Genomic DNA, 24,578 nt, shown 5'->3' with positions numbered 1-24,578 from the left:
GTACAGTGGCTCATGCCTATAATTCCAAAACTTTGAGAGGCCGAGGCAGGTGGATCACTTGAGCACAGGAGTTCAAGACCAGCTTGGACAACATGGCAAAACTTCCTCTCTACCAAACAACAACAACAACAACAACAAAAAGAAACCAAAGAAACAAACAAACAAAAAACTAGCCAGAAGTGGTGGCATGCAGCTATAGTCCCAACTACTCAGGAAGCTGAGGTGGGAGGATCACTTGAACCTGGGAGGTGGAGGTTGCAGTGAGCCTAGATCACACCACTGCACTCCAGCCTGGGCAACAGAGTGAGAGCCTGTCTCAAACAAAACAAAACAAAACCTAAACCGCTTAGAAGATGCTAAAGAAAAAAAGAACATCCAGACAACAGGAAAAGGCACTTTAAAAATAGAATCACATTTCAAAAACAGAATAGAAGGGGTAGATGATAAACTTGAGGAAGTTTCTATTTCTCCCCAAAATAAAGAAAAAAGACAGAAAGGAAATGTAAGATAATTAGAGGATCATTCCAGCAACTCCAGCATCTGAATAGTGGAAGTTCCAGGGTAACAAAAGAGACTGACTGAAACTAAATAAACCAAAGAAATAATCCAGGAAAATTTGTTAGAACTGGAAGATATGAGTTTCCAGATTGTGGGTACCCAGCCAGGCCCTACCCCAAAGCCTATGATTGTGAAATTTCAGGAGGTTAAAATGGCAGATCCTAAGTTTCAGAGAGGAAAAATGGGTTCCTGACAATGGATCAGGGATCAGGTTGGCAGGGGACTTCTAAACAACTTAAATAGAAGCTGAAAGACAATGGGACAATGCCTTAAAAATTCCAAAGGGAGAAAAAATATAATCTATTTTCAAAGTATCAGTCCGGTATGAAGGAATAAAAACATTTTCAAACATACTAGGTATCCCAAAAGTTGCCTACAATGACTCTTTTCTCAGGAAACTAATAAAATATACATTCCACCAAAGTGAGGAAATAAACCAGTAAGACCTGAGATCCTGGAAACAGGGATCTAATACAAGAGATAGAGGCAAAGAGAATCCTAATAAACCTGAAGGGAAATCCCAGGATAACAGCTGTGCAGCAGGCAAGAGGCACCAGCCCAGCTACAGCAGGTTAGAAGGTGCAGGAGGGATGGCTGCAAAAGAAGAAACTGACAGAATACTTGATATGACTTGCTGCATGGGAGGGTGAATTTTGCATGAAATAGCTGAGACATACAGTGAAAACCAAGTAAGAGAAGCAACAAGATAATTGTTCACTTGAGAAACAGAAAGTGGTACAAGAAAAAAAATATAATCATAGTACACTACATGGCTCAGCTGTGAATAGTCATAAAAATATAAACACTGATCAGTGGTCAAACTGAAATTACAATATAGCTCCTACAGAAAGGTGGATAGGAAGTGGAAGATATGTGTGAAAGGGAGCTCAGGCCTCATCAGTCATCATGTGAATTCAACAGAGAATATTTGTTATCAAAATAAACAGCAGAGTTGAAAGTGGTTGTCTCAGGGTAGTGGGAAATGTCTTTTCTGCAGGAGAAGTAAAGAGGAATATTTTATTTCTTCATAATAACTCCTTCCAGAACTGCTGACTCTTTAAACCATCTGCATATAGAAGTTTGATAAAAATGAGTTTTTTTAAAAAAATTAGGGAACACAATAAAGTATAAAGAAGTAAATTTCTAAAATTATTCATGGTCACCACCTAGAACCAACCACTTTAACATTTTGACTATTTTGTTCTGATTTTTCCTCTGCATATTATACATGTGCATTTTCTTTAAAGTTTTAATCATACTATACATATATATATGGTTTTGATTCCTGCTTTTTCACACTTAACACATCATTAGCCTTTTCACATTTCTTTAAATATTTGTTGAAGGCAGTTTTTAATGGCTGTGATTATTCTAATATAAATCATTCTGTGATTTAGCAACTCCCTTTTTACTATGCATCAATGTGTTTATAATTTATCACTATTATAAATAACATTGTGAAGAATATCATTTTATGTAAATCTCTGGGTACACTGAATGTTTTCTAGGCATAAATTCATAAAATCAGATCACTGCAAACCAAAGAGTCTTTGGCAAATTAACCTCCAAACTGGTTGTTTCAGTTTTCATTCCCAAAAATGGGGCAGAGAGTATTTACTTTCCTTTCTCCTTTTCAACTTGATAGGTTGAAAAACAAAGTTTTTATTCACATGTCTTTACAGAGTGTGTTTTCATTGGCTATTTGTTTTTCTTCTCTTGTGAGCTATTGGTTTATGTCTTGTCCATTTTTCCACTGGGGCTACATGGTAGATTAACTCTTTGGCAACCTCATTTATAGGCTGATCTCTTACGAGTTAACATAAATCAGACCCATGTACCTGATGGTCCTTGAAAGCCCCAATAAAATTGTTTCTGAATCTAAACGGCCCCACAGAAACCTTGCCTATCTGGGAAGCTCAGGTCAAACAGCCGGGTAGTTGGGCACCTTTCTAACACTCCTCACTCACATTTCATGATTTATATGCACATCCCATTTTCTACTTGCATTCTGGCCAGCTCTATTCATCTTCCAACTGGACTGTAAACTCCTACGGGGGAAGAACCCGATCGGATGGAATTTTGTGTTCCTCACCTCACTCTTATGTTTAATGGATATTTATATGTTTGATAAATAAAGCTATTAGGGTGTGGTTGGGGTGGGAGAGTATATGAACAGAGGCACAGAGAAAACAAGAACACTGGAAGGTCCAGACCCAAGCATTAAAAGGAACAAAAAAAAAAAAATTAAAAAAATTTTTTAAGAAAAAGAATATCAGAAGGGTAGAGAAGAGATCAGCCCTCGCCTCTACCTGAGCCAGGGGCGAAGGCAGCACCACAAGTGCACAACTAGCAGAACTTCACTTTGTACCTTGAAACCCTGAAAATAGTCCCCAGAGCCCGGGAAAGAATGGCCATGGAAGAACAACTGAAAAAGAGCGGGGGCAGGAATAAAATGGAAAGAGAAAGATCACAGAGCCATAAAAAGGAATGGAATGTTGATACCTTCTACAACATGGATGAACCTTAGAAAACGTTATGCTAAGTGAAAGAAGCCAGACACAAAGGGCAAACATTGCAGGATTCCATTAATATGAAATGTCCAGAATAGGTAAATCCATAGAAACAGAAAGACAGATTAGTGGTTGCCAGGAGACGGGGGAGGAGGAATGGTGGGGAGTGACTGTCGGTGGGTATGGGGTTTCGTTCTGGGGTGATGAAAGTGTTCTCTGAATTATGCCTCAAAAAATAAAACAAAGGAAAGAGGAGGAAACTTACATATCAAGCAGTTTGACACACCAGCAATTTCTCTGAGTAATTACTTGCGTCTTAACACCAGCTTGCCTAGATGCTACTTCCATACTAGCTTGTTCAGACAACAGGAGGCATTCCGGTCTCCCAGTCAAGACACAAGTGAGCAGGTCAGCATCCTCACCATGTCCCCCTCCTACCGACTTATCACAGAGGGCCACAGGCCACTCTGGAAGCACACCTGACATAAAGCCCAGTGAAGGACTCCTACAGGTCTAGACTTGCTGGAGAACAGTACATGCGCATAGCCAGTATTTCATCCAAACAGACCTGGCAGCCTGTCTGCTTAATGAGCTCTGTGAGTCCAGAAATGAGTCCCACTTTGCTTAAATGGTCAATGTATTCAAATCGCCACCTATAACCTGCTTTAAAGCCACTCAATAATGTCCAGACAGGTCAGAATTTCCTCTCAAATGAGCTGATAGGAAAGCCAATATGGATATGATATAAAGTGATGGGAAAGGTTCTTTCCATAATAATCTTACCACCAGACTCCCCTAAATTTAACACACACCTAGTTCCTACTGGGGCCCCCAACACTTGTGCAAAGTGCTATGTGCTACGTGCAGTCCTGCAGGGACGGCAAGGGGAAGAGTTTACAATCTGCATGGGGAGCAAAGATTTACACATGAATAAAACCAAATGCTAGAGTGCAGCCTGGAGACAATTCACTTAGTGGAAATTCTAAGGAGGGACTCGACCACTAGAGGGCCGGAGTCAGAGGTGAGGAGGTCATGGGGTGCCTCAGCCTCAGTTGGACTTCTCACTTTCTGCAGTGGATGAATACCCAAAGCTCTCGCCTGTTGGACGAAGTCCCTGTCCGAAGGAAGCAGAGCCCCCATCTGCCTGCTCTGTCCCTCCTCGTGTCCAGTCCCTTCCCCATTCCTCCAGGGCCAAGGAGGCTGGTGGAAACACCTCCAGGTAATCAGCTCACTGGGGAAGACAACTCTGTGAAAAGTAAGCTGGATTAAATGGAATTTTAATTGAACTGGATGCTCAAAATTAAATGCTCTCTCAGTGGCTGCTCCTAGAGGGGGCACACTTTGAGCCAACTCATTTATAATCCCAACCATTATGCCATTTGAAAGAGGATGGGTTTTCTAGATTGGAACAAATTTGAAAAAAAAAAAAAAAGAAAGAAAGAAAAAAATGTAAAAGAGCAGGCGCAGGAGAATAAAGGGAGGGGAGAACACTTGCACAGAAAGCAGAGGTCAGCCAGGAAAGAAGTAATTACTGGCAAGATGGGTGTTTGAGTAACACAGCCCTTCCTCTCCCTTCAGCCACTCCTTGTGACCCGCCTGGGGAATGTTAACACAGAAAGGACGTCATTGCCCATCTGATGCTTTGGAACTAATTTAGCACAAACCAAGCTGCCATCCTTCTCAGGGACAGGGTCTGTCACCACCCAGAGGAGTGCTAACCTCAGCCACAATGAACAGAGCCCTGTCCAGGCGTCCTGTCTATCGAGCCCCTTAATATGCGGGAGAGAAATAGCTTGGTGTTTAGGCCGCATCAAGAAATACCTGCAGAGCCTACTGGGCGCACAGCCCTAGGCCACATAGCACACTAATGGAGCCAAGGCACCCCACAAAAAATTCTGCTTCCATTTTTTTTCTCCTGATAGCACTGCGGCCCTTCTCCACCAGGTGAACTGGATAGGGAGCACCCATGGCTGAATCATTCAATTCATTCCAGTAATTACGGATAATCTCAACCATGTGTAAAGAACTAGAAATGAGGGTATATGGGGGTGTGTTTTGTGGGGCTGGGGGTTTAAAAATTTATAAATTAAAAAAAAAAAACACACACACACAATGAGATCCTGTCATTTGCAACAACATGGATAGAACTGGAGATGATTAAGTAAAATAAGCCAGCAACAGAAAGACAAACATCACGTATTCTCACTTATTTGTAGGATCTTAAAAATCAAAACAATTGAACTCATGGACATAGGGAGTAGAAGGATGGGTACCAGAGGCTGGGATGTGTAGTTGGGGGTTTGGCGGGAGGTAGGGATGGTTAATGGGTACAAAAAAATAGTTAGGGCCAGGCACGGTGGCTCACGCCTGTAATCCCAGCACTTTGGGAGGCTGAAGTGGGCGGATCACAAGGTCAGAAGTTCGGGACCAGCCTGGCCAATATGGTGAAACCCTGTCTCTACTAAAATACCAAAATTAGCTGGGCATGGTGGCGGGCACCTGTAGTCCCAGCTACTTGGGAGGCTGAGACAGGAGAATTGCTTGAACCCAGGAGGTGGAGGTTGAGTGAGCCAAGACCGTGCCACTGCACTCCAGCCTGGGCGATAGAGCGAGACTCTGTCTCAAAAAAAAAAAAAAGTTCGAAAAAGACATGACACTATTTGATGGCACAACAGGGTGACTATAGTCAATAATAATGCAACTGTACATTTAAAAATAACTCAAAGACTGTAATTGGATTGTTTGTAGCACAAAGAGTAACTGCTTGAGGGGATGGATACCCTATTCTCCATGATGTGCTTATTTCACATTGCATGCCTGTATCTAAACATTTCATGTGCCCCACAAATGTTTACGCCTACTATACACCCACAACATTTTTTTAAAAATTGAAAAAATAAAAAAAAGAATAAAATAAGTCATGTTCTCTGCACTCCAGGGACAGTGTGTATGTAAGACAGCGGTGGATGTGGTAGGGAGGGAGGGGGCAGGGGGTGGAGATGGGTTGCAAAGAGCAGGTACAGAAGTGCACAGTCATTAATTCAGTGACTCTGAAAGTTTAGCCTGCGTCACAATCACCTGAAGGGCTTTTATAAAAGAGATTTCTTAGTTTTTCATTCAGAGGATTTGGGATAGAGCCTAAGAATTTGGATGTCTAACAAGTTCCCAGGAAATCCATGTTGGTTTGAGGATCACACTTTGAGAACCAGTGCCACCATTCAAGGCCTCGCTGAGCATCTAGTACGTGTAAGAATCCAAACTGATCACTTTCTCCAGCTAAAAAACAACTTTCGTGGAAACAACCTTACTCAACTTAACTCTTACTAGCATTTCACCTCCTTGGAAGGATAAGCCTTCCTCCTCTGTGCCCCCAATAAATAGGCCCCACTGCCCTCCCACCACTCATGGTTGACCTACCCTTCAAAACACTGTGCCTCTGGGGGCCAGGCCTGTGCCTGACAGATCTTCTAACACCTGCCCCTGGCCCAGATCTGGTGCTCAGGAAATGTATGTTGACTGACTGGATGAATGTTCTCTTCTAGGCTTGCCAGCCACCACAGGAAGCAGCCAGGCAGGATTTGGGAGCCCATGCAGAGGTGGTGGCAATGGGGATGGCCCAAGAGGGCAAACAATATGAGCAGCAGGTGGCAGAGGAAGTTTTGCGCCATATTTAGAGAATATTCAGATGAAGGAGGGACAAACAGTTTTGCAGAGGTAGGCTTCCCCTGAATAAGAAAATCCTTGAAGGGAGAAAGGAAAGGCCTGAGGTAGCCCCCATGGGACACAAACGACACCCGTCATTTGCAGGCTAAAGCTGGCCCGCCTGGCAGCCCCCCAAACAGCATTTCCCTGTCCCTCTCTTCTGGGAAGGGGCCACAGCTTTAGGCAAATGGCATGAGCTTCTTCCACACGTACTTGAGCAATGGGGCCATCAGCGCCACCTCGGGCCTGCTCCTTTTTGAGGAAGCATGGTGGTTTAGGGACAAAGTGACAAAACACCCGTAACGTCACGTGGGGCAGAAGTCTTTGTAGGAGCCGTTTTAGCAGCCGTCCCTACGTGTTCCACCTATACACAATGTTCCACCATCTCTTCTAGCTAGAAAAGCGATACGCTTGGAATGTACCTTTTACATGAAACGCTGAACAACAGTGCATGTGATAAAAGAGGCATTTAACATGGGCCAGATGATTAGGGAGAGTGACTTAACATCAAGAACCCAGGGCTTAAAGTCCGACAGCCTGCCTGGTGATCTCGGCTTTGCCTTTTACCAACCGTGTGGCCTGGAGCGAGTCATTTAACCTCCCCAGATCTGCAAAATGAGACAGCCACCACTGGCTTCCTTTACTCACAGAGCAGGTGAGGGAACTCAAGGCGGTACCAGGTGCGACATGCTTTATGTGCTGTAAAAATGTCATTTGATGATGAGCCTGCCACTTTTAAGCCCCTCAGTCTACCCTGAGCCTGAGTAGAGCAGGAAAATCTAGGGATCTGGAGAGGCGGCTGCTTCAGTGCTCTCACCATTCACTCAAAAAGGAACAGAGACAGCAATAAAGACCCCTTTCCCCACATTCTTTTCTTTCTATTAAAATCAACCAGCAACACAGCACCAGATTAATATCTCTTTAATTACCAAGTTGTCAGTCACCAGGTGAAAAACTCCATAATTTAGTTATCAACCCTGCTCCACATGTTGACACTGATAGCAGGGATCTGGGGTCCATAAAAAGACGCTTTGGGGTCACCCCCTCTGCCGTTCCTCCCTACACTATTCTTCCCACTCAGAATATGAGCTCTCCACACCCCTCTGCCTGCTGGAACTCATTTAGGTCAATGCTTCCCAAATCTTCACCTCATGGCACACAGAGAAAATGAGATGATGTGTTCAGCACACATCGGGTGGAGTAGAGGAGCCACTGCTGCATGCCTGAGGTGAGACTGCTCAAGCTAGGACAACCTGAGCCATGGCTTGTCCCAGGCCCTACCCAGCTGCCCTGAGGGCTGAGGAAATCCCTTATCTGGGAGCTGGGAAGCTCCAACATATCTAACAACCCCACAAGGAGGTACTATCATAATCTCCATCTGACAGATAAGGAAACAGGTTTCCGAAGGTTAAGCCCCTTGCTGGGAAGTGGCAGAGCTGAAGTTGGGCCCTGGGAGTCCAGTGTGGGGGTCCACACTGGCAACCAGTACTCTACTGGCCCCCATCTCTTCCTGCAAGCCTAGATCTTCCAAAAAGCTCCTCCCTGTCACCTCTTCCTGTGTGGGACCCTGCAGCACTCAATTTCACACGATGAACTTGCCCAGTTGTGTAGTGGACCTTTCTGTGGCCCGATCCCCCACCTTCTCCTGTGGAAGGTGGGAACACACACCAGGCATTGAATCAACACCAACCGAACTGAGCCAGTGTGAAGCCCCCAGAGCTAGCCTGGGCCCGCACTCTCAGCACCAAGCCCTACAGGGTAACGACATACATCATTTCTAATCCTTACAGCTATGCTGCAGGGTATAAATTATCTCCACACTTCACACAGAAGGAAGAGAGGCTCACAGAAGTGAGCCGGCTGGCCGATGTCTCACAGCTACAAAGAGGTAGAACTAGGATTCGAAGTTCATCTGGAGGCTCCAAAACCCACACTCTTTCCACTGCCAACCTGTCTCCTCCTCAGGGGATCTGGGAGCAAGAGGTCTCAGGAAACATGCAAAGGCCGGAGTCTGAGACAGAGTGTTGGGGGACAGACAGACCCACTGGTGATCACTAAGGCCCCTGGGCCTGTGTAAAGACAAAACTGATGGCCTGCCCCATACCTATGTGCCTGTTTCTCCTTTGAACCTTAAAGACTTCTACTGTATTAGTGAAGCTTTCCTGGAAAAGGGGTTGTGCTGATGCTATTATTTAGCAGCTATGACTTTAGTCCTTGGTTAACCTTTTAGCAGAAACAAGCTGACAGTCAAATGAGAATCAATTCTTTTTTTTTTTTTTTAAATAAACACGGTCTCGCTCTAATGCCTAGGCTGGAGTGCAATGAAGCCTTGTATTATAGCTCACTGCAGCTTTGAATTCCTGCACTCAAGTGATCCTCCCACCTCAGCCTCCTGAGTAGCTGGGACTACAGAGGCATGCATTACCACATCTGGCTAATTAAAAAAAAAAATTTAGTAGAATTGGGGGTCTTGTTGTGTTGTCCAGGCTCGTCTTGAACTCCTGACCTCAAATGATCCTCCAGCCTTGGCCTCCCAAAGTACTGAGATTACAGACAAGAACATGCCACCCTGCCTGGCCATGAATCCCCTTAAGATGTATTTGTTGCATGCCTACAAGGTAGCAGGCACTGGGCTGAGCACTGCAACATGGTAGAGAAAGACACTGTTCTTGAAGAGAGCAAGAACGCATCCAGGAGGTCCTGGCCGGCACTGGGCAGGAGAGCGTTCTACCCAGGGAGCCGGGGGACCCCTGAGAGCTCAGACAGCCCAGCCTCCGTACATGCAAAGCAGCTGTGCTCAGAAACCAAAAGAGGAATGACAAATTGCTGAGGGCAAGGAAAGCTGCTCTCTGACCCAAGTGTGCCAAATTAGGGCAAAGCCAAGCCTGTCAGAGAGAAAGGAAATACAGCTGAGAATCAGGAATTTTAATTTTTAAGAGCCACACATGGTCTTCCATCTTGTTTCTTTGTAACTGCGTCCCTCTCCTGCTGAAGCATTGCTGTTGTGTCTGAGGCCTCTGTAGCACCCACAGCTGCCAACACATGTGCTCTTTCTGGAAACGGACACCCCCGTGGAGAGCTACTTTGTTGGCTTTGTTTTCATACCATTAGATCTAATCTCTTGAAACCCCAAACTGCACAACAAAACCGCAAAAGCCCAATTCTCCATGGGGCCTCTGACCCCGAGGGGCTTAAAGCAATGCTTCCCACCTTTTTCACATCACAGCACCCACAGCAACTGACAATACATGCTCAACCCCCTTAGGCTGTCACTCCCCCGGCCCCTCAGAGATGAGAGCTTGGCATCTCAGCACACCTGTAACACTCATGCTTGAGATACCTGCGGGGAAGCTGTCGTTCAAAGCGTGGGAATGTCACCAAACCTCAGGAGAATCATGATGGAAGTGGAGAAGCCAAACAGATCAAAGGTCCAGGATGGGGATGGGGCACAGATTATGTGCCCGATTATGAGGCATAATTGTAGACCAACGAGAGCTGGTGGGGACTGCCCCCACCCTAAAGTCCCTGCCTGCCAGCCCACAGTCTAAGCTGGCATAACCCAAACCCACATCAGAGTCCCAAGGAGGGGAACACAGGGCATTCAGACTTTGGAGCGAACACAGCAAAGGCTTTGGAGTCAACAAAGGCTATCCACCTTCCCAACGCAGAGGAGGAAACCAGCATTCCCGTGTGATGCGGTGTGGGCTAGAGATATAAATAGCTTCTAAAAAGGTTAGCAAAATGCACACATGACAAATCTACAGTAGGTTACTAAGGGAAACCAGGATGCTCAGTGCCAGCATCTCACCTGTTGCAGCTGATGCCTGGAAGGAACCCTGGGGCTCCTCCCAGGCTCTGCTCACCGGGCTGAGCAAGGATGGAACACGGGGCTACAAGGACCCAGAGTCTGATGTTGTGAGTGGCATTTCCTAAACCCTACTAATGTTCCCTGCAGGCCTTCTCCAAAGTAGAAAACCTTTTTCCTAATCACATCTCTGTCTGGTTCCCATAAGCCCACTTGTTCCCAATTTCCTCATCTGGGAGAAGTCTACCTTGAAGGGTGTTGTGAGGATGACTTGCCTGGAGGTGGGAGGAGCCTGGTGAGTGGTGATCCCATGGCCCTTTCTCCTTCCCTTTTCTCATCATGCCAGGCCCTTCTGCTAAAATGCAGAAGGTGGGGCATGCCAAGCCTGCCTCCGGTGGAGATTCCCTTCTGTAGGGGAAGTGCCTTGTGGGCACCCAGAGGGCATGCAGGGCAGCCACAGCTGCTGGGTTATATCAAGTGTAAAACAAATCTCACTTGTCATTGAAAAAGCAACACCAAGGGACACCAGAGTAAAAGATATTTATAGCTGTCATGGACGCTTCCCTGAACTTGTGTGTTTAAGTTAACAGACATAGAAACAATACATCCCAAAGCACACAAATTGACTTCCACACACTGAGACAGTGGCTAAATCTGGAACTCTAGGGATCCCAAATTCACCCCCAACACACATCCTCCTGAGTGTGGATATTCTGGGACCTGAATAAACTGGGCTTCAGTCCTTCCCTCTCCAGGGTATCAAGTTCTGCCTTCCTGCCAAGGATTAAGAGATCAGCCTAGAGCCCACAGCTAGAGAGCAGCTTGCCAGGCAGCTCCCCACTGGCCTGTCTGGACAGAGAGGGAGAGCTCTTTCCACTTCCCATCGCTCCAAACAGTGCAGTAGCAGGAGGGAAAATCCCATCTCTCCAGTCCCTCCTTGAGCAGACAATGGGGTTGCTGCAGAGCCTACACTGAAGTCCTGAAGGCTGGGCAAGAAAGGAGAAGCTCCACAGAGGCCCAGGCAGGAAGCCAACCCCTCACCCCCAAAACACACGCAAGGCCCCTAGTGAGAAGGAAGATGCCTCGGTCAACTTCCACTCCAAAATGCTTGGCAGTCAAAATGTGACAGCTGCTCCTGGACCACCCATGGGCTTGGCCAACAGAGGGGAAGTGTTCCCTTTGGCAGTGGTGCTCTGAGTGTGCTGGGATGTCCCCAGGCAGTGCACATGATGGGGACTGAAGTCCAATACACTCTCTCTCCCATTCTCTCTCTTTGTCTGCTAATAGCAGCAGAGGTCAAGTGGAAAGCAGCCTGCTCTAGAAGGCCAAAGGTCATCTACAACAATCACCCTTTGACTGGTAGATGCCCTAATATGTCAGTCGGACAAATGATGCCTATGGCTTTGAACTTGACTGGGGTTAAGGCAGGGACCATGAGTGAGCAAGTGGACTAGAGGTTCCAAACTGAGGGAGGCACTGTTGCTGTTATTCAAATACAATGAGTGCCCACATGCATGAGTGAACATTTTGGAGAGAAGGCAACTGACCTGTAGTGCCATGAGCTGCCTCATTCCATCTTAACTCTCTGAAAGTAGAACCAACTGAAGCCTACATACCCTACTTGTCTGTCAAATTCTGCATGGAACTCTAAGCTATTTCTCTTCTATCAATGGGGATACGGGCTCTGCTTAAGACAGAAAACCATCTGATACAACAGGGCATTTACGGCAGGGAGCACTGGGCTTGGAACCATGGATCCCACAATAGGGACTATGGGAATTACAATGCGCAAAGCTGTTGCACACCTTGGTTGAAAAGGTTCTAGGATCTGGCATTCTAGTGGAATTTCTATCAACTCCAGGCACAATATACTGTTCTCTTCCACTCTGTGAACCTTTCTCCCCACAAAACTCCCCATAGTGGAATATAATAATTTCCTGTACTATTTGTCACTCACCCACTATGCACAAAGTATCAGCTGCTTTTAAATATGTTAAAGAGTTTAAGCCAGCCTATGACCTTGTAATGCAGATTCTAATTATTCACGTTTTTACTAGATCACAAAGGTAAATAATTTAGCTAGAATCACATGACTAGCTAAGGTGGAGATCTGAGCCCAGGCCTGTTTTGTTCCAAAGCCCATGGACCTTTCTCTGCTGCCCACTAGGCTTAAGGATTTGTGTATATATATATATGTATATACATATATATATATATATATATATATATATATATATACACATATATATATATATATATATATGTATATGTGTATACGGATACATATATATATATATAAACCCTTAATGTTTTTTATTTACTTTTTATTTACATGTTTATTTATCATTGTTATTATTGTAAGACAAATCTGATATGGATTCCTAGAAGCCTGAGGTCTTAATGACCAAGTGCAATGTAGAGATCTCCTATGTAACACATGAACAGAGACCCGAGACAGACATTTCTCCCTTTGCTGACATCAGCTGTGGTAGATCCCCATTTTAAATTCATTCCTTTGCACTCCCCAGGTGCAAAAGTACCTGGACATAGTACCAGGTACACAGCAGGCACTTGCCATTTGGTCTCATCATTGCTAAGTTGCTTATTAGTAATAAACCCTCAAATGCTGGGAGATGAAATATTACTAGCTTTGATGCAAAAACAAAAGTCTAGACACTGGGAAAAACACCAATGGGGCCTAACACACATCTAGGCCCCACCAATGGTGTCCAGCATTGGGTGAAAACAGTAGTATTTGAGCCTTACTAATATGTTCATCCTGCTTGGTCTATATCTTATGATCCTCCACTAAAAAGAGTAATTACGGCCATATATGGAAAGCCCTGGTTTTGTAAGTGGGGTCAACTTCAAGTGACTCTGGATCTAAGTTCTCTCCTCTGTAGAGGTGCCATCCAACACCCACTCAGAGAATGGCTGTGAAGATTACAGGTACCACAACTATGGATGCACAAACAATCCAATCAACCCCGTGGCATCTCAGCATTCCCATGGTGTCCTGTGTGTATAACTACTTCAAACTGGAGCAGATTCAGACCCCTGTCCCAATCCTAGCAACACCCCTCAGTAGCTGTGTGACCTCAGGCAAGCAACCTAGCTTCTCTGAGCCTGTTTCCTCACCGCAAAGATGAAATACCACCTATCTCATGGGGTTGTTTTATGGACTAAATAAAATAATATTTGCATGTGTCTGCCTCTGGCCCCATATGTAGGAAAAAACTCAGTAAATACTAGCAGGGTTTAAACATACTCAGAACAGCTCTGACTACACACATCCTGTTGAACAGGGAGTGCGGTCAAAAATTATCATGGTCACAAGTAAAGGAGATAAGAGAAAGGAAGGTAGTGAGAAGTTCAAATTAGAGGCGATTTTTTAAAAGCTTCCTCTTTTCAACCAATAAGGTCAACCTCTTGTTTATCAATAATACGACTTAAAAGTCAGTCTTAGTTGATTGAGCAAGCTCTGCCCCTTGCCCTCCACATCCTCCAATGAAGGTAGAAGGAATAACGACTACAGGGCAGGCAACCAATGGGGGCCCAGGAGAGCTGAGAACTGGCTGTACTGACCTGGGCCATTTTGGTGAAAGGGGGTGGTCTCAGGGACCTTGAACTGCCAGCAGTTCTCTATCTTCAGACGTTCCTCTAACAGTTTAGAAACCAGAGGTCACATCAAGGCACTCCCCCTCAATAAGGCATGTTTCAGAATCCAACCTAAACTCTAATCACAGTTCTGAAATCCAAATCTAGACAAGCTTCAAAGTACATCACTCCCTTTATTGAGCACCTAGTGTGTGCCAGGTTCAATGCTAAACATTTGCCATACAATATCTGCACCAGGGGATCATCTTATTTTTTTAAACCCCATTTTGCAGATAAGGAAATTCTACTACTGGACTTCCCCCAAAGACATTCTCTAAGACTTTCAGCTGCTCCTGTGTTCTCAAGGATGTAAGTCTGTATGACATGTGGAAACTTCTGCCAGAGTCTTCAACTCTAATCATAGTGCTGGATTCTACAAAATTCATCACACACAACTTATCCCCAGAGCAAAAGTGGGTTTGGGAAGAGGCTGAAGCTGGGACAGGGAGACAGAGAGAAGACCTTGGCCCTTTAGAAGCACAGCCTGGCCACCTCTGATGTGCAAACCCTGGCCAGAGGCTGCAGGGCAAAGTGTGCATCTTCTTTCTGCACAATTAATCTCTCCCAAAGAAAACCCAGACAAAGTCACCTGGCCCTTCTGAAGTAGGGCCGGGGGGAACCCCTCCTCCTCCAAGATTCACTCTAAACTCCTAACCCTTCCTCCCCACCCCAGGGAGTGGCTACATGGTTGTTGTTTCTTTTCTTTTTTCCCTGTGGTCCTTTGGTAACACCACAAATTACGTTTTCAGGGACTGGAGTCCCAGAGTGCAATGATGTTGTAATAAACATAACCAGGACCAAATGCCTTCCCATCATATTAGATGATGCCATTTCCCACCAATCAGGCTCCTTGGGCAGGCAGACCACTCACCAATGAGGGACCAGACAGAGGCTGTGGGGGGGAGACCTGGTCATCTGCAACTAAAAATAAGGGCGCTTCATGATTGGCTGCTGCCACTTTGCAACAGGAGTTGGGACCCACACACCAGGCGCCACACAGAACGACCCACACAGGCAAAAACTTTCACAGCCCAGGGGTTCACATGGGGGGGGCTTATCCGGCTCTGTTTGTTTTGTTTGTTTTCCTAATTTGCTGACTTGTTACAAGAAATAAAGACCTAATCCAGGGGAAGCCCGTCGCAGACACACCCTCCCACCTAGACACCTCGGTTTCCAAAGGCCCTTCGCAGCCACAAAGAACTGGGGAACAGGAGGGGGGCGTCGGCCAGAGGCCAAGACACTCACCTGTCCGGCCGTGTCATAGAGTCCTAGGAGGTACTGCTTGCCCCCCACGGTGACGCTGACTGCAAGGACAGAAGTGGGGGCGGGGAGAGAAGCTCACAGTGACCTGGGCTCTGGGGCAATTTCGCTCCCCACCCGGACCCTCCTCTCCCAACCCAGCTAGAGGCGTGGGGGCGCTCCCCGCGAGATGTCACCCCCTTTTCCCGTGCGGCCAGCTCACTGTGAACCGGCAAAGGGCCGGGGTGTGATGTGGTCCCCAGCCGTCCACCCCCTTCTCCCAAGTCCCGTAGCCACGTCTCGCTCGGTCCCCTCGAATATTTCCCCCGGGGCCTTGGGGCAGTAGGAAAGGGGATGTGGGAAGGTCAAGGAGGACGGCCCAGGGCGCCGAGGGGTAGGAAGTGCGGGGAGCAGGAGCCGCGTAGGGGGCGGGTGGGAGAGGGGGTGGATCAGCGGGCGAGGGGTTGCCAGGAGCGAAGCTTCGGGGGTGGGGCCGGCCGCCTGGCAGAGGGCGCGGCGGGGGAGGGGAGAGGAGTGCGCTCTGGGGAGGCGGCGAGGGGGCTCCGCCAAAGTTGCTCCAAAGTTCCCGGCCCGGGGAGCGGCCCCTTAGTCAGCAGTTCCGAGGCTTACCTGCGTAGTGGTCGAAGACGGTGGGCACGTACTCCTCCGGGAAGGCGTCGTTGGCATAGCTCATGAGTAGGCACGTCTTGCCCACCGCCCCGTCGCCGACCACCACGCACTTGAGCATCAGCGCGCCGGGCCCGTGAGCCATGCTGCTGCCGGCCGGCCTCCGGGCATGGTCCCCCCGGAGCCCCCGCCCCGGCCCCGGGCTCAGCCCCAGCCCGCCTGGGGGGTCCGCCGCCGTCGCCGCCGCTCCGCGCCGCAGGGCCGCCCCCCCGGCCCCATGCAGCGGCTCCCCTCGCAGGAGGGGAGGGGGCGGCGGGCCCGGGGCGCTGCCGCCGCCGCGGTCGCCGCCCGGATCCCCGCCCCGGCCCCGGTCGCCGCGCCCGCCCGCTGCCCCCGCCACTCGGCGCCCGCGCCCTCTCCCCGGCCCGGCCTCCCCAGGAGGATCCGCCGGATCATAAGACCGGCCGGCCCCGGGGGAGACGGCAACTTTGGGGAGGGCGGCGGAGGGGAGGGGCCAGGCGGCTCTCCCCGCCCCGCGCCAACCCGGGCCCCTCCCGCGGCGCCCCGGAGGAGGGCGGGCCCAGGCGCCTCCCCGAGCGCGGCCCGCGCCACGCGCCCCCGCCTGCTGCCGCCGCGCGGCCCTGCCGGCGCACCCGAGCCCCACTCCCTGCGAGGGCCGCGCGGAGGGGCGCGCAGGAGGAGGAGGAGCCGAGGACCGCGGAGGGGAGGAGGGGAGTCGCCTGGGGAGCCGAGGGCTCCTCGCGCAAGTGCCCGCAGCGCCCGGAAGCGTCCAAAGGCCCCGATGCTGGGAGAAGACGTGGAGGCCTCTCGGGGAACCACGACGACCTCCACGATGACGCAATAGTCATGCCAAATTATACATGCATATTTCACCTCCACCCGGAAGGCCAGAGCCATCCTCTCGGCCTCTAAGTGCACAACGGAACTAGAAATCAAGGAGGAGAGACCAAAAGGGTAAAAAAAAAAAAAAAAAAATTTAAGGCGCGTGGGGTGGTGGCGGTCCTTGAGCTGGAAAGCAGGAACCCTGGCTTATTGCGTGGTCCCCCCCACCACCACCACCCCACGCCTTCCGTAGCACGAGCTTTAATCATTTACTATGAAACCGGTAACTAAGGGAGATACAGCGTGTTGAACCACTGAAGCACGCCCCTCCACACACACACCAGCCAGAAAAAGGATACCCCGTCGGCTCCGGACCCGGCAAATGTACCTGGGCTCCCCCTGGAGGCCACATTCTCCGAGGTCGCCTTTCGGTCCCCAATGTTCCTCAAAGGTATTCCGTTGTAATCCCGGAGAACTGATACACACTAGTGCTCTGAAACTTGGCCTGTGCTCGAGGCGGCAACCCCTGCCCCTCTGCCTGGCGATGCCGGAACACACCCATCTGGCCAGGTCCTGTTCACTGGCCAAGAATGCAGCATTGAACACTGGGCATTGGGGCGGGGGTGCACTCTGCGCTGACACCGCACCCCTCCCCTCAACTTGCTGACTAGAGGTAATCGCTTCCTTTCATCGATTCACAGCGTTAGAAAAATGCAGCATTGAGAGGCAGCGCGGAGGTCAACTGGACCATCACCCTTAGGTTGTAGGGAAGAAAACTGAGACCTAGAAAGGTGAAGCGGTTGTCCCAAAGGCTTCCAGCTGCTCCCAGTACTCAAGGACTTGGAGCACACTTGGGGAAATGCTCACTGTTGTATTCCCGTTCCTCACTATCCAGGAGGCCTGAACTCTCAAACTCCGAATCTGATTTCCACTCTCCCAGGAAGTCTTCGGAAATCACTGTAAGTTCCTTGCAGATTCTCATTGAGCCTCTCCCCAGGACCCACCCTTTGGCCCTGCGTGTCTGCGACTAGGTATGCGCATTGCTAGCTGCTTTAGATGCAATGAATCTGGAAGATATTTTGTATGGACTGAATAACAGGTTGAGGAAGGCAGAAAAGTGCCTTAAGGTCAGTTCCTGGTTCAAGACCGGCCTCTGCTACTTGCTCTTAGAGAGAAAGAGAGCAGGGCCTGCCCCATTCTTGGCTTGCAGGACCATTTGTTCAGGCAGCATTTGCAGGGACTCGTGTCCTGAAAGGAGGGTCTATCCAGGAGCTTGAAAAGGAGAGCACTCAGCCAGGAGAGCTGAGTTTGGTCCTAGCTCTGACCCTGGTTAGCAGTGTTACCTTGAGCATGTCACTTCCCTTCTCTGGGCCTCCGTTTTCTCATCTATAAATGTGAGCTAAGAGTAGGAGAAGCTCTGGGAATGTCATAGCATTCCCAGTGGGGAACTGATGTCCGATGAATCATGCAGTGGTGACTTCATTGGTGACAGTGACCTCATTCTTTTGGCCCACAGAGTTGCCAAAACTGACTGCCAGGAATACTTAGAGCTCTGGAGCTGATCCCACTTGGTGTATATGTGGGATGGGGAGGGGGGCTATCCAGAATGCCCCCCTGTCAGCCCATGAATGCCTTAGCTGGAAGCACCAATCAGACCGCAACAGAAACCTCACTTTCCCATGAGCAAAGAAGATAATGTCCAAGTGGTAAAAAAAAAAAAAAAAAAAAAAAAAAAGTTACAGAAAAAGCTCTCAAATTTCAGGGATTGGAGATAGAAAGCACTTTGTTTCTGAGCGTCCCATAGGCTGTCTGCTTGCTTCTCTCCTTTTATTTGTGCAAATGTTGAAACAGACACAGGTCTGTGTGAGAACAGTGAAATTTCTTTTTCTTTTTCTTTCTTTTTTTTTTTTTTGAGATAGGGTCTTGCTCTGTCTCTCTGTCACTCTGTCGCTCAGGCTGGAGTGCAAAGGCATGATCTTGGCTCACTGCAACCTCTGCCTCCCTGGTTCAAGTGATTCTCCAGCCTCAGCCTCCAAGTAGCTGGGATTACAGGCATGTGCCATCATGCCTAGCTAATTTTTGTATTTTTTTGCAGAGCGGGGTTTCGCCACGTTGCCCAGGCTAGTCTCGAACTCCTGAGTTCAAAGTGATCCGCCTGCCTCAGCCTCCCAAAGTTCTGGGCTTACAGGTCACTGCATCTGGCTGAGAACAGTGAAATTCCTAATCAGCCTTCTCTTACTCTTTTTCCTGTACTCCCTCCTTCCTCTCATACTTAATTCATTCCATATTTCAATTAACAAGCATTTATTGAGGTCTGTTAGATGCCAGATTTTATTCCTGGGCTGGGGACAAAGAGCTGGAAAGCCACAGTCACTTCTAGCTAAACCATTCAAGGAACTTATTAGCAAACAGGAAAGCACTCTATAGTGTGAGCAGTGCTGTGCTAGAGAATAGAGAATAGGCTTCTGGAGGTGCAGAGGAGGCAATTAGTACATAGGTCCAGGTGTGTTGAGGAAGGATTTGCAGAAGTGATGTCATTGACCTGGGGCTTAAGAGTCTAATGGGAGTAAGGTAAGAATGCCTGGGAAAGGCCAAGAGCACTGCATCAAAGCAAGAAGGAACAGCACACAACTTCCTGGGAATGGTGAGGCATGTAAGGTGGACAGAGTGCATGATTAGTGGTGCTGGGGAACTGGTTTGTATTTAATTGGGAACCATATAATGCAGGCAGTCCATGAGCTTCTGAAAGCCATATGAAGAATGCAGGGTCTGGCATGGGTTGGGCAGTCTCCACTGTACAAAGGCCAAAGGCCAGGGCCAATGGGGCCACTGAGGAAGAAATCTGACCCACACGCTTACTACAAAGGCATGGTCCCAGCTCAAGGCTGCGTTCATTGCAAGAAGGGCACTTTTTTCTTACCACAAATGTGACTTCTGTTTGTCAAACCCTGTGCCCATAGGGGTGCATCCACTCAGAGGGGAACCTTGGTCTATGTAGCAAAAGATGAAGGCACTGTCTAGGCAAGCAGTGGTTCTGGGAGCGAGGATGTAATGAAGGGAATAAACACAAATTTCTAGAGCATCTGCTGTATACTGTATCCAGTTATGGTCCCGGGTATTTGGTGCTCATTGATATAGGACATCTTATTTCATCCCCCAAACAACCTTGTAAACTTTGTAGAGAGTATCTATTGGTTTGTCTATCCAGAACAGCACCATTTGCTTCTGCTAAATGTTTTTATAATGTAATCTCTGTAATCTTGGAAGCTGCCGTCTTCTTATACATCCTGCCCCTGGTACCTGTTGATCCCTAGGTGGACACCTGATTCAAGATGGGACAATTAGAACTCTTTCCTGAATTTTTTTTTGTGTGTGTTTTTGAGACAGAGTCTCACTCTGTCACCCAGGCTGGAATGCAGTGGTGCAGTCTCAGCTCACTATAGCCTCAACCTCCCAGGCTCAAGCAATTCTCTCACCTCAGCCTCCCAAGAAGCTGGGATTATAGGCATGAGCCACCAAGCCTTGCCTGAGAATTTTGAATTTGGGATTCACAGCAGGAGTTTCTCCTCTTTTGCTAACTAAACTGAGCGATGTGAGCCTGGAAGCTGTAGGTCATTTATGTTTCAGCCATTCACAAAGTAGCCAGTCCAAGGAAATATAGCTAAAGTGCAGAGAGAAGCAAAGAGAGAGAGAGAACACCACCACCACCACCACCACCACTACTCCCCCATCACAAAGGGCAGAGAGTAAACAGGCCATCTGTGAGTTACTAATTTGCATCACCCCCGAGATCCTGTTGCACAACTGTTCTCTGATTTGTCATTTGAGTTAATAAATCTTCCCCTTTTTTTTTTGCCCAGTGAGTAGGGGTTAGTTTTCTGTAACTGGTAACCAAAGGAATCCTATTATAATATTATATCTATAGTTCACATTAGATGATGAGATTAAGAAGCTTGCCCCAGATCACACAGCTGGTAAGTGGCAGAGCTAGGTTTCAAAATCATCTCTCTTCAAAGCTAATGCATTTGCCATATTCCACATTGACAAGGTATCAAAAGTTTTTGAGTAAAAAAATGACAAGCTTGGACCTGTCATTTGGGAAGGTCACTCTGAGACTCATAGAAAATGGATTTGGAAAGGATAAGGGTGAAGGCAGAAAGAGCCAGGAGGAGACAGATCACAACAGTCTGACCCAAGCATGGCAGTGAACATGAAGAGGAGGCAGTGGGTTTCAGGGAGATTTGGATGATGGAATCCACAGGGCTTGGTAGCAGTGTGGGGATGTGGGGATGACAGAGGAGGCGAGAGAGAACAAGGTTTTTACGATAACTCTGAGGCATCTACATTATGATTTCATCTACTTTTTTTTTTCTTTTTAATGTCCTCTGTTGTTATCTTCCCACTTCTTCTTTGGACTTCTTCCTTGCTTTTTGAGCCTTTCCATCTCCGATTGTTTCCTAACCACGCAACTGACTGTCTAAATCAAGCTGAGATTAGAACTCTAGAGGACAGTATGTTCTAAAACACATTCATTTGCATCATTTTGTGTGTTCCCTCATGTCTGCTTAGGAAATGGAAAAATGGACTCCAAGGGATCATTTGGTGTTGTGGCTAGGATGCTTTAGGTTGCAAGTCATAGAAAATTCAACTCGAACCAGCTTCAGCAATGAGGGAAGTGTATGGACTTCTGTTATGGAAAAATCCAGAAGCAGTCCAAGCTTCAGGCATGAATTGATCAGAACTCTTTTTTTTTTTTTCTGCACATCTCTCAGTTTTTCTTCTTCTCTATGAGTCAACTTTCTACTCAGCATACCTTCTTTCCTGGAAGCAAAATGGTTGCACCAAGTCCAGGCATCACCATCCATATACCATGTTTTCCAGAAGGAAAGAGAGCTTCTCTTGACCCACTCATTGAACAAAGTCTTGAACTTCTTCTGATTAGCTCAACTTAGTTCATCCCTGAACCAGTCATGGTGGGTAGTAAACTGTCAGGTGACTGTTGCCTTAGGCCTGGGCTACTGTCCATCCCTAAAACCATCACTATGGCAAGGAGTTGGGACTATCCTAATTGGGCATATCAGCCCTGCCCCCACAGGGGCTGGGGTTTCACACCTACCCAGGTTCTGTGGTTTCTGCACAGTGGGTGACAAGTCTGGGGGAATGCATGCTGAGGAGGCAACCAGCAATATACATCTACATTATTGCCTAAGGGTCAACGTTCCTAGGCCTTCCCCTGGCTACACTGGAAATAAAGAATTTTAGGAGAGGCCAGGCAAAGTGGCTTATACCTGTAATCCCAGCACTTTGGGAGGCCGAGATGGGAGGATCAGTTGAGGTCAGGAGTTTGAGACCAGCCTGGCCAACATGGTGAAACCCCATCTCCGCTAAAAATACAAAAATTAGCCAGGCGTGGTGGCGGGTGCCTGTAATCCCAGCTACTCGGGAGGCTGAGGCAGGAGAATCACTTGAAACGGGAGGCAGAGGTTGCAATGAGCTGAGATGGTGCCACTGCACTCCAGGCTGGGCGCCAGAGCAAGACACTGTCTCAAAAAAAAAAAAAAGAAGTTTAGGAGAGAGGCAAATGTTAAGAGGAGAGGAAGATGAGATGGCTCCAAATCTAATCTGTGATTTGTTCCAAATTTCAGGTGGATTGTCAATACAGGAGTCCATACTGACTGAATCCCTAATTTTGGCCTGTATTCTTCTCCCTCTGTGAACCATCTTCTTAGAAGTCACTGGTAAGGAGATAAAATGATGGGCATTCTTTAACACTGGTGCTGCCCTGCTGTTATGTTATGCTTCTTCCCACCACAATGCCCAGAATCCTCACACTGCAGCCTCTTCACTCCCCAGGGTGCCTGTTGGCCTTCCCTGCAGCATCCTGCCACATGCCCTACCTACCCCTATCCCTATTTTTCTCCCTGCCACTAAAACCTCCCATTGGCACCCTCTTCTCTTTGCACTCCAGTGTAGGTACACTGCAATGAGTTAAACACCACAGCAATTTCTTAAAGGTCACTGGTTCCTAATGATCACGCTGATAAATAAATCCAGTAGGATTGGTTTGCCTGGTTTTCATTCCCAGTTAGAATGTACATAGATCTCTTTTTCTAGTTGATTACATACCAGAAACTCAGAAGAATGGCCCAGCCTCTGAGAACTTCGGCTCAAGCGCTCTTAATGTTTTGCCATTTTCATTTCTAACTGTTTTCTGCTGCAACCTAAGGTCAGGAGACTAGTCATTGTGACTGATGGCATCACCACCCATTGCTGAACTATAGGAAAGGACATTTCCTTAGAGGTTGCTGGTATGGAATACTCATATGATTTAGGAGTGGTCTCCTCTCATAGGCTCCAAAGGAGGCTAGATCACAGATCCCTCCTCCAAAAATGAAATTAATGATTTTATTTTATGTTTCAGAACCAAGAGTGCCAGAAAACCATCCCAAGACTCACACAGAGTTGTTCTTCCATAGTGGATGTTTTGGCCACTGGACATCAGAACCACATTTTGGGTTTGAAGAATCTTCTACATGGTGAGCCTTGGTGGGAAGAAAAGAATATCCCTTCCTTATAGAAGCTGAAATTACAGACTCTTGCTTTCCTTGTCAGACTTAAAAGCTAGTGTAGCCAGAGTTAAATACAGGGCACATTGTCTCTGGAGGCTGCAGCTTTAGTGGTGGGTACACAGTTCAGTTCCTGACCCAGGAAGTGGCACATCAGGGCAGGCAGTGGTGTTGGTTGTGGTATAATTGAGTTCCTGGTTCAGAAGTGACAACTGTACACATGAGTTGTCTAGGGTTTGGTGAAAGCAATGGTATTGAAAGTGGTTTTCTCATCAAATTAGTTCCTGAGTCATGTGTCGGACACTGTTTCTATCTTGAGCAGCTTCTCTAGCCTTTCTAAATCCTGTGACCTGCCTGTGATCCTTTTAAGATTTCTTTCTGTTTAATCAGCCACAAACAGCTTCTGTTGCTTGCAACCCAGGCTCCTGAGAAGAGACTGGAGAAGCAGATCACTTTATTAATGTGCTTCATGTAGAGGGAGTAGAGATTTCCACCTCTACCATACCCAAATAACTGGTATTGGCTGTACCTTTCTAATGTGAGCAACTTTAAAATTGAACAGAATATATGAAACCTCTCTTTTCAGACATTGAACAGCATGTAGCACAGCACCGTGATTCCTGAAAGTAGGGAACAAATGGGGCAAACCCTATCACTCTAACTTTCTGCTGAAAAATGCTGTCTAAATTGCAGCACAATGAGGGGGAACCCAAGCAGAGCATAGTGGTCTTGCTGAGTTGAGGAGATAGTTGAGCAGACTTTTCAAGGCAGAGTATCAGAAAGGAGAGAATATAACAGCAAAACAGGCTCCTGGAATCCCTGTGAATCTGTTGCTGAATACTAAGCTGCACATGCATAAGGTGAAACTTCACAGTGCGATGCAAAGAACTACTGCGGAGCTGTGAGCTGATTGGTTCCCAGGGCTCACTGGGCAATGTTTGAGTTTCAACTCGCCAATGTGAAGAAACCTTGCTGACTGTCCAGGGAATTCAGTAGAAATCCCAAAAGGGTAAGGCATTAGGAGAAGGGCTAACTAAGCCGAAAAGTGAGGTAACTCTAGACTTCCTCCAA

General features: G+C 47.5%; 2 protein-coding genes across 15 annotated transcripts in view, besides 8 other annotated features; one reads left to right on the top strand and one right to left on the bottom strand.

Moving 5' to 3' along the window:
* Positions 1–16,800, bottom strand: part of RHOQ (ras homolog family member Q) — a 42,199-nt gene extending 25,399 nt beyond the window's left edge. For all 3 annotated transcript variants that reach the window (XM_011532726.3, NM_012249.4, XM_005264229.3), the window contains exons 1-2: positions 16,102–16,800; positions 15,478–15,536 (exon numbers count right to left, since the gene is read on the bottom strand). In XM_011532726.3, coding sequence (XP_011531028.1) covers positions 15,478–15,536; positions 16,102–16,243 — 201 coding nt within the window. In that variant the 5' untranslated portion in view covers positions 16,244–16,800. The remainder of the gene's footprint in view (positions 1–15,477; positions 15,537–16,101) is intronic.
* Positions 1,253–1,302: an enhancer, noted in NCBI's record as "active region_15711". NCBI's record gives its function as "activates an Ori minimal core promoter by ATAC-STARR-seq in GM12878 lymphoblastoid cells {active_cell/tissue: GM12878}" and the evidence as "EXISTENCE:reporter gene assay evidence [ECO:0000049][PMID:35858748]".
* Positions 9,634–9,713: an enhancer, noted in NCBI's record as "active region_15710". NCBI's record gives its function as "activates an Ori minimal core promoter by ATAC-STARR-seq in GM12878 lymphoblastoid cells {active_cell/tissue: GM12878}" and the evidence as "EXISTENCE:reporter gene assay evidence [ECO:0000049][PMID:35858748]".
* Positions 9,744–9,803: an enhancer, noted in NCBI's record as "active region_15709". NCBI's record gives its function as "activates an Ori minimal core promoter by ATAC-STARR-seq in GM12878 lymphoblastoid cells {active_cell/tissue: GM12878}" and the evidence as "EXISTENCE:reporter gene assay evidence [ECO:0000049][PMID:35858748]".
* Positions 14,169–14,238: an enhancer, noted in NCBI's record as "active region_15708". NCBI's record gives its function as "activates an Ori minimal core promoter by ATAC-STARR-seq in GM12878 lymphoblastoid cells {active_cell/tissue: GM12878}" and the evidence as "EXISTENCE:reporter gene assay evidence [ECO:0000049][PMID:35858748]".
* Positions 15,951–16,000: a silencer, noted in NCBI's record as "silent region_11451". NCBI's record gives its function as "represses an Ori minimal core promoter by ATAC-STARR-seq in GM12878 lymphoblastoid cells {active_cell/tissue: GM12878}" and the evidence as "EXISTENCE:reporter gene assay evidence [ECO:0000049][PMID:35858748]".
* Positions 16,011–16,080: a silencer, noted in NCBI's record as "silent region_11450". NCBI's record gives its function as "represses an Ori minimal core promoter by ATAC-STARR-seq in GM12878 lymphoblastoid cells {active_cell/tissue: GM12878}" and the evidence as "EXISTENCE:reporter gene assay evidence [ECO:0000049][PMID:35858748]".
* Positions 16,121–16,200: a silencer, noted in NCBI's record as "silent region_11449". NCBI's record gives its function as "represses an Ori minimal core promoter by ATAC-STARR-seq in GM12878 lymphoblastoid cells {active_cell/tissue: GM12878}" and the evidence as "EXISTENCE:reporter gene assay evidence [ECO:0000049][PMID:35858748]".
* Positions 16,471–16,960: a silencer, noted in NCBI's record as "silent region_11448". NCBI's record gives its function as "represses an Ori minimal core promoter by ATAC-STARR-seq in GM12878 lymphoblastoid cells {active_cell/tissue: GM12878}" and the evidence as "EXISTENCE:reporter gene assay evidence [ECO:0000049][PMID:35858748]".
* The window catches only part of ATP6V1E2 (ATPase H+ transporting V1 subunit E2), a 30,731-nt gene continuing 22,865 nt past the window's right edge, over positions 16,713–24,578 (top strand). For 5 of the 12 annotated variants that reach the window (NM_001371283.1, XM_011533149.4, NM_001371282.1 and 2 more), the window contains exons 1-3: positions 16,713–17,900; positions 22,587–22,679; positions 23,363–23,477. The gene's annotated coding sequence lies outside the window, so the exon portion shown is untranslated. Of the gene's footprint in view, positions 17,973–21,713; positions 21,915–22,586; positions 22,680–23,362; positions 23,478–24,578 lie in introns of all 12 variants that reach the window. The other 7 variants (NM_001318063.2, XM_047446257.1, XM_017005225.2 and 4 more) reach the window with 3 other exon arrangements.

Source organism: Homo sapiens, chromosome 2, assembly GCF_000001405.40.
Source record: "Homo sapiens chromosome 2, GRCh38.p14 Primary Assembly".
NCBI classification, from domain to species: Eukaryota; Metazoa; Chordata; class Mammalia; order Primates; family Hominidae; genus Homo; species Homo sapiens.
This window is presented reverse-complemented; position numbering and strand designations above follow the sequence as displayed.